Source organism: Homo sapiens, chromosome 2, assembly GCF_000001405.40.
Source record: "Homo sapiens chromosome 2, GRCh38.p14 Primary Assembly".
NCBI classification, from domain to species: Eukaryota; Metazoa; Chordata; class Mammalia; order Primates; family Hominidae; genus Homo; species Homo sapiens.
The window spans coordinates 107,025,510-107,034,239 of NC_000002.12; the positions used below are offsets into that span (position 1 = coordinate 107,025,510).

The 8,730-nt window shown below is 36.1% G+C and overlaps 1 long non-coding RNA gene across 1 annotated transcript; it reads right to left on the bottom strand.

The window, feature by feature from the left end:
* Positions 1-3,481: 3,481 nt before the first annotated feature.
* LOC105373535 (uncharacterized) lies at positions 3,482-7,399 on the bottom strand. Its single transcript, XR_923153.2, has 3 exons — positions 7,324-7,399; positions 4,390-4,486; positions 3,482-3,644 (listed from the first exon to the last, which is right to left on the bottom strand). It is a non-coding gene; the product is annotated as an uncharacterized LOC105373535 (long non-coding RNA).
* Between the last annotated feature and the right edge of the window lie 1,331 nt (positions 7,400-8,730).

Genomic DNA, 8,730 nt, shown 5'->3' on the forward strand with positions numbered 1-8,730 from the left:
TGCAGTCCTGGTGTTCCTGGAGCCTTCGAGAGAGATGGGATGGTCCAGGGAAGAGGAGACAGAATCACTCTTTTAGAGGTACAGAAGGCTCAGCCTGCCTGCATCCACAGGCCCAGAATTTTGGCCCCAAGTCCTAAGTTAAATCAGGGCTGTGGGCTTGCTGTGGACTGACACAGATGGGTAGGAAGTGGGAGCACAGTAGCGACCACTGGCAAAACATACTATCCTGTGTAGACTGCAACAGGTGGAGACCCCTTGAATAAATGTATTACAAACCAGTAATGTGGAAAAGTTTTTTATTTCAATTCACAAAGAGAATCTCCACAGAGTACATGTTGATTCATTTTTCCCAGTGTGATATTTTGGTTTTATTGGTATTTACCATGACTATTGACTTGACTTGTACAACTATGGACTTTTGCAACTCCCTTAGTACATACGCACATAGGCTAAAACATTAACTTAAATCAACAGATATAAAATGCACAGGATGGCAGAAACTACCTGAGTTTAGTCGACTTCAGAGGCGAGGCCACCCACCCACCCACCCTGAAGCTTGTAAAGTCTTTCTGGCTGCAGGAAGTCAAGATGTCTGGGGTGTGTGTTGGAGGAGTCACTGTATCATCCCTTGAGTCATTGTATCACCCCTGAGTCATTGTGTCCACTGTCTCACATCTCGGACTTGGGAGCCTTGAGCTGAATATATTTACCATCTTAACTGTCATGAAGAATCGTAAAAGTGGAGGATCTTAGTCTAGAAAGTATGCGGTCAGCCAGGAATCTCAGCTAACGTAAACAAGGGGCCCTGTTTCTCAAGCGAACATTCTTCATTGTAAGGAAATTATTGCCCACAAACTAACCTGTAAAGTGAATTAATGCAGAAGTAACCACTTCAGGTTGATAAGGAGAAGGCCTAATTATAAATTGTCTGTTCTGTACAAAGTAGTTTTCTGGAGTCTTACTGACAAAAAATCCAAACTCCCATAAACGTGTCCATAGCTCCTTATTGATTTGTGCTGCGTTCCCAGGTGGGATGCTGAGACACCTTTTGAAATATCCACATTCATTCAACTGAGCATCAATTACAACTAAGAATATACCTAGCAAGGTGCTTGTTAAGTTTTAGGCTATATTTGGGGGCCATGGATTATACATTTCATTCAGGCAAAGTGAAGGAGCCTGAAAGGAATATCTACAGAGGATTCAACATGCTAACAAAGGAGCAGCTGGAGAAATGGGAGATTTAACCAAATTTGGGCAGAGTGAACATTGAACCAGTCTTTAAAAATTTAGAGATCTATTACATGGAAAAGGAGTCAATTTCATTGATAGCCTCAGGAAACAGAGTTAGAGCCATGGGTTAGGAGTCTTTGGAAGACAAATGTCAGCTCAGTATGATGGAGCAGTACTTTATATGCAGAATTGTTCAAAGAACAAGGTTCATGGAGAATGGGTGAGTTCCCATCATAGGACAGGCACTGCATCAGGCATGGTTCTTAGATTGCCATTAATAGAAACAGTCTCTGAAAATATATATAGGTTGGATTTCAAGTACCCCAGAATACCAAAAAAAAAAAAAAAAAAAAAAAAAGCTAAAGAACTAGGTCTCAACAGAAACCAGGGCAGCTTCTGGGACCTAGCTAGAAAAAAAACGAATGGGGTATCTTTTCAGAATGTCACCTTTGGGTTGAATGTCTTTCTCAACTCAGTTTCTGATTCCAAGTTAAGCACAGGCATCTGATTGGTACAGTTTGCATCATATAGTTCACTTTGTCTTATGCAAGGTCAGTGAGAGCCATGTGTGCAGTTGTGCACTGCACAGCTCCAGGGATTGCTATTCCCATGTGTGGAAAGGGCTGGTTCCCAATACCAAAATGAATGCTGGGAGGTAAGAACCACAAATAAAAAGAGGGAGAGTCATCATTTGTCAGGAAGATTGCAGAAGGCATCCAACAAGGAGTGGTTTATTTAGGAGGCCTTTCCACCCTGAAAGAGGATTCCAGGCATTAGGTTCTTTAACCATTTACTAACGTTGAGTAAGACATGAATTAATGTCTTACCCAGAATCATGTTTTGTTGTTTTGTTTTCATATTAAGTTGAAGGTAGAATCATATATTTTTGTGTGTTGAAACCCATTCCAGTCATCAGCAATTCTTTTGTCCAATTTTGTCATTTCAATAGTCTTTCTAAATTCCCACCCTTCTGTCATTCACCTTTGCCTCCTTTGGGAATATTGTTTAGTTGCACAGTTAACAGGCTAACTGTCCAGCCAACACTCAGTTACTGTTTTGATATTTTTTTGCCCAAATATACACAAATCTCCACACATATAAAATACCTAAAATTATTTTTCTATGCTCTGAGCTGCATTGTCAAGTAGTTTTAACTGCAGTTTAGTCATTTTCTATCTTTGAGTTGATACTCCATGTCAGCACCTTGTGAATTATTGCTGAGTAGGACTTCAAAGAAGTAAGGAATTGTGCTGAACTGGCAAAAACTGACAAGTAATCTGCAGTCCCACAGAGTAGTTGAACAGTAAATTCCCCAAGCAACACTTATCCCCACACTGCTGGCTAAGTGCTAGAATCAAGCTCAGTTTTCACTGTGAACTTTGCCAACAAATATACTGTTTTACTAAAAGTTTTTTAAGTTGTCTCTTGTGCATTTAAATTTTATTGGTGAGAGATTGAAAACTTTGCCAAGTATGTAATTGTGGCATTGTATGTTGTGAAATATAACAATTTTTTCCTCTAAGAGCTTTATTGAGATATAGTTTATGTACCATAAATTCATAAATTTCAATATACCATCAATTTTATGTAAGTTTTCAAAGTTGAACAGTCACTGTCACAATCCCCCCACCAAAAACAAAAACAAAAACAAAAAACTAAATCAAATTAAATATAACAAAACAACAACCAAAAAAACCTGTTTGTTTTTTAAATTTCCTCCAGTTGAATTGATCCTTGCTAATCAAAGAATTGGAGTATGTTCCTTTTGCCATATGAAAGCAGATACATATTAAAATATATTAAATTACATAAACTCTCCTCTTCAATTAAATTCAACAATCAAATAATTTTATTATATAGTATTCTGCAAGACTTGGCTTCCAGACCACTGACAGATTGTTCAGTAATTATCTGGATTTTTCTCTAATTCTTGTAAGTATGCTTATTTTTTTTAACTTCAGTTTGGTCTGCCTCTGAAAGGAACATCTGTGGTGACTTTTAAATATCTTAGAACAGTATTCTTTCCATGCTGACACATGTGGAGCTCATATAGTGTCTATACAACATCCTAGGGTTCATTTTTAAGACCTTTGCCAGGGTACACAGATAAAAGAATTGGCAGGGAGCCATAGTTTTGCCTCTCGACACAAGCAAGATTGGAACCAATTCACAGATCAAAGAGAGAGAGAAGAAAGAAAACTGGCTAAGATTCCATTTTGAACTACCCACCTCTGAATAATAAATAGCAACTTCCTCCATTCTAGATCATTGACTATCTATGAAAATATTTAAAAGAGATAATTAAAATGAAATAGGCATGCTTTACCACGGAATAATATGGTTTCCCCTTGGTCTTATGTATTTTCTTCCCTTGGGATCCTCAAAGACCTTCATCCATGTTGAACTGGGTCCTATAAAAATAGACAAGAAAATCTAAAAACCCTGAAGGGTTTGTTTATTGTTTATATTGAGACGTTAAGTAATTGTGTGTGTGTGTGTGTGTGCGCGCGTGTGTGTTTGTGTGTGCATGAGACTATCAACAAACAAAGAAAGGAGTGACAATTACAGAATTCAGAACAGTTGGGGAATCAGGAAGATGATAGGAGATGATAGCAATGGTATTTGTTAGTTCTTCTTATGTAGGATTTTTATTATTAATTTAATTTAATTTAATTTTTTTGAAATGGAGTTTTGCTCTGTCTCCCAGGCTGGAGTGCAGTGCCAGATCTCGGCTCACTGCAACCTCTGCCTCCCAGGCTCTAGTGATTCTCCTACCTCAGCCTCCCGAGTAGCTGGGATTACAGGCACATGCCACCATGTCCAGCTAGTTTTTGTATTTCCAGTAGAGACAGGGTTTTCCCTTGCTGGCCAGGATGGTCTTGAACTCCTGACCTCAGGTGATCCTCCCACCTTGGCCTCCCAAAGTGCTAGGATTATAGGTGTGAGCCAGCACACCCAGCCTATTGATTTTATTACAATGCTTCATAATGTAACTGTAATCTGTACATACACATGCATCAACTATACAAAAAAAATTTAAAAAAAGAATAATACTTCAGAATAATACCTTATAATTGTATTAGTCTGTTCTCACACTGCTATAAAGACATTCCTGAGACTGGGTAATTTATGAAAAAAGAGGTTTAATTGACTCACAGTTCTGCAGGCTGTATAGAAAGTATGGCTGGGGAGGACTCAAGAAACTTGCAATCGTGGTAGAAGATGAAGGGGAAGCAGTCACATATTCACTTGGCTGGTAGGAGAAAGAGAGAGAATGGGGAGGTGCTACATGCTGTCAAGCAACCAGATCTTGTGAGAACTCAATCATGAGAATAGCAAAGGGTAAGTCCGCCCCCTTGATTCAATCACTTCCCACCAGGCTCCTCCTCCAATACTGGGAATTACAATTCAACATGATATTGGAGTAGGGACACAGAGCCAAACTATATCAATGACCAACTAGCATTTATCCAAGGAATACATAAATGGTTTAACATTAGGACACTGATTTATGAGAATTAATTATTTATTGAAAAATAAAGCTAAAACGTGATTATCTTAACTGACGCCAAAAAAACAATTAATCGAACTCTAGCATTTCTGATAAAATACTTACTAAATCTTATAAAAGGTAATTTCCTTAACTTCATGAAGATTGTCTACTAGAAAGCTATGGGAAACATCATATTTACAGTAGAACATCAGTCATTCCTGTTTGAGCCTGGAATAAGAAAAGCTGCCCACTGTCACTATTTTAATGGAAGGTGCAAAAAAGGAAGGAATAATAATGCTGGAAAAAAGAAAAATTGGCATTGTTTGCAGAAAATCTATGGTCTATCAAGAAATTGGAAAAGGAAATACTGAAAATTTTCAGCAAGATGGCTGAATCAAAGGTCAATATTCAGAAACCAATAGCTTTTCTATACTAATAACCAATTTAAAATATGATAGAAAACGCATCCTTTTCACATAGAAGCATGGAAACCTACATAACAACTTTAAAAACTTAGTTGAAAGACCAAAATTAAGGTGACAAAATTAAGAGACATAGTATGTTTCTGAATATAAATACTCAATATTTGTTTATTCAACAAATATTTATTAAGCTCATACTATAAACTAGACATTTTAGTACATACTGAAGACAACACAAGAAAAAGTAATTCCTGCAATAAGGGACTGACAGACATTAAACACAGAAGTAAAAATACATAGTATGTCACATGATGATGAGTATTTTGGAAGAAAAATAATGCTGTAAAAATGGATTGGGGGTTCTGGATGCGTAGGGTGGGAATGCCATTTAAATATTAATAGAATGTTCATCAAGGTACTCATGAGGGAGGACGTATTTTAGATCATTAGCTTTCAAGAGGAAGAGTGTGCAGGGCAGGCAAGTGTCTGGTGAGTTGTGCATCAGAGAACAATGAGCTTGTGAATGGGCAGGGGAGGAAGGTGACCTGTGGGGCTGTAGAGCCCTGGAAAGACTCTGGGCCCTTGGCTTCTCTGCCTGAGGAATGGGAAGTCACTCACTGATGGACTGCCAGTAGAGGAGGCAGTCCACTTGCATTTTAAGAGGGCCATGCTGGTAACTAAACTGAGGAATGACTCAAAGAAGGAATTTATTTTTATTTATTTATTTATTTAACATTCTTTTTTTTAAATTATACTTTAAGTTTTAGGGTACATGTGCACAACGTGCAGGTTAGTTACATATGTATACATGTGCCCTGTTGGTGTGCTGCACCCATTAACTCGTCATTTAACGTTAGGTATATCTCCTAATGCTATCCATCCCCGCTACCTCCACCCTACAACAGGCCCCGGTGTGTGATGTTCCCCTTCCTGTGTCCAAGTGTTCTCATCGTTCAGTTCCCACCTATGAGTGAGAACATGCGGTGTTTGGTTTTTTAATAGTGAAAGCAGCAAGGTTCTTCAGGATGCAGGGTGGGAGGGAACTTTCTGAGAAATGGTCAGACTTTGGATGGATTTTAAAAGAGGGCTAAGAGAAGTTACTGATGGTTTGGATATGGTGTAGGCAAAACAAGGACTAATCAGGGATGAACATGATGATATTTATCCTCAGCAAATAGAAGGCAAAGTTGTCATTTACAAAGGGCCAAACTATGGTAGGGGTGGGAATGAGGACGATATATGGTGTAAGGATGGCAATTCTCCCTAAAATAATCATTAAATGCAATGCAATACCAACCCTAATCCCAACAGAGTCTTTTCATGGAATGTAAAAAGCTGACACTGAAATTTATCTGGGAAAAAACGGAATTAGACTATTATCTCACACCATACACATATGAAACATCTGTATAAACTAGAGACAATTGCAAAATCAAAAGTAGAATCAAATATAAGAAAATATTTTTATAATCTTGCCCTAGGGGCAACATTATTAAATGAGATTAAGAAGATGAAGAAAATTATTAAAAATGAAATTTCAGTTTAAGGTTAAAGACATAAAAGTGAGTGGAAGAAATTATTTGCAATGGGTATAAGAGGTAATGGATTAATATCCATACATACAAATAATGTCTATGCATCAATATAAATAACACAGCAACATCATATAAAAATGGTCTAAGACTATAAAAAGTAATTCACCAATACAGAAATTCTAGTAACAAAGAAACTTATGAAAAGCCAGTTTTACTTTTAATGGGATTTCTCTTTTAATGGAGAAATGCAAATAAAAGGCAGTTTCATTTTTAATGGGGAAATGCAAATCGAGTGGTATATGGGTGTTATTGTTTTTTTTCTTTTTTGGATGATAGTGGTAGCAGAGGGAAGAGAGCTACTTGACAAAGTAAAGAATAGATATTCAATGTCAGCAAGATCATGGGAAAAACAGATCCTTTTCTAGTTTTTTGCTGATTAATTCTTTAAGTTGGAACAGCATTTTTTATTTTGTGAAAGAATGTTTATTTAAATTATACTGATCCCTTGACCTAGAGACTCAAGAGAACACATTCCTGAGAAATATTCAGGCATATTCACTAATATTGCTGTGTAAAGATATCCTCTGCTACAAATACTTAGATAAAAGTCTATAAACATCAAAGTGATAGTGGCAGTTACCTCCCGGAGGCACGGACCTGTCCAGGAGTGGCAGGTCTCTGAAGGGAGTTTGAAGGTTCTTGTCTCTTTTGCTTTTTACTCCATGTCCCACTGTGTTTGGTTGTTGTTGGTGGTGGTGATAAGGGGAATACTATAATTATAATAAAAAGTACTAGTAGATAAGGAGATATGTATGAGAATATTAATTGTGATATTAAAATGAAACATTTAAATGAAGCAACAGTAAATGGTCTAGATGCCCAACAACAGTGGAATAATCAGATACATTATGCTTTATTACTATCATGCAATGTTTGGCAACTATCTTTCTAAAGTAACATAAGGATACCTAGAAAGTTATTTATAACATATTGTTCATATATTAAATATAAATTAAAGAGTTTATATGTTGTATATAAAAGTCTACATGAGTAATTTGTAAAATCAATTTAATGACTTAAACCTACATAGTTTTGTTTCCTTAAATCTTGATTTATATTGCTTAAACCATTAATTTGACTGTCACTTTATTTAGTAGATATTAATATTTTAATAATGACATTTTATCTTATTTTACGGGAATTCTATGTTATGCAAACTGTGCCAATTATTCACCCCTGAGGAAATCCTGAGACATGCATGTGACATTGTCAGAAGCATTGTGATTTGGCTAATGGAAACTTCCTAAATTAGAAAGATAGTTCTAAGAATAAAATAGAGTTTATATAAGATTGGCCCTGCAAACCCAAGGTCATGAGCAATCAGTTAAATAAAGCAAGGATGTATGTTGCAAATATCATAATGGCCTCAGCAGAATGGCTGAAAGTTTAAAAAGAGCTTTTGTAATGCTAGAGATAAGCTCTAGTCACCTGATAATTTACCCCTTCTCTGACAATAGCAACTCAATGCTATTGTTTTATATGGACTACTTTTCCTTTGTGGAGAAAGAACTGTATCAGGAAACAAACAAACAAACAAACAAAAACTATTGTATTGATCTTAGCAGAGGAAGAACAAAATTTTTAAATTTAGAAAATATACCTGGCTATATAATTTTATAATAATTGATTCAACCAAGTAATGCTCACTAACATCATGTTTTTATTTGCAGTGTTGGACACACATATGAGTGAGGAACAAAGGAAAATTAAAAAAATGTAAAAGCTGAAATTCTCATTATAATTTAAATTTTTCTGAAAAAAGTTGCTCTCAAATATTATACATATTTGAAAGTTATAATTACTTAATATTGTGACTCCTTAAAACACAGTAGTAATTTTAAGATGTGGTGACAGATTTTTAAAGCAATGTCTTTAGTTAGGTCCACAAAATAAATATTTGTTGAAAATCTGCCATGCGTAAATAAGTTTTCTGAATTCAACTTTATGCATTCAGAGGGAAAACTTTTAAAAAATGTTACATTGTTTT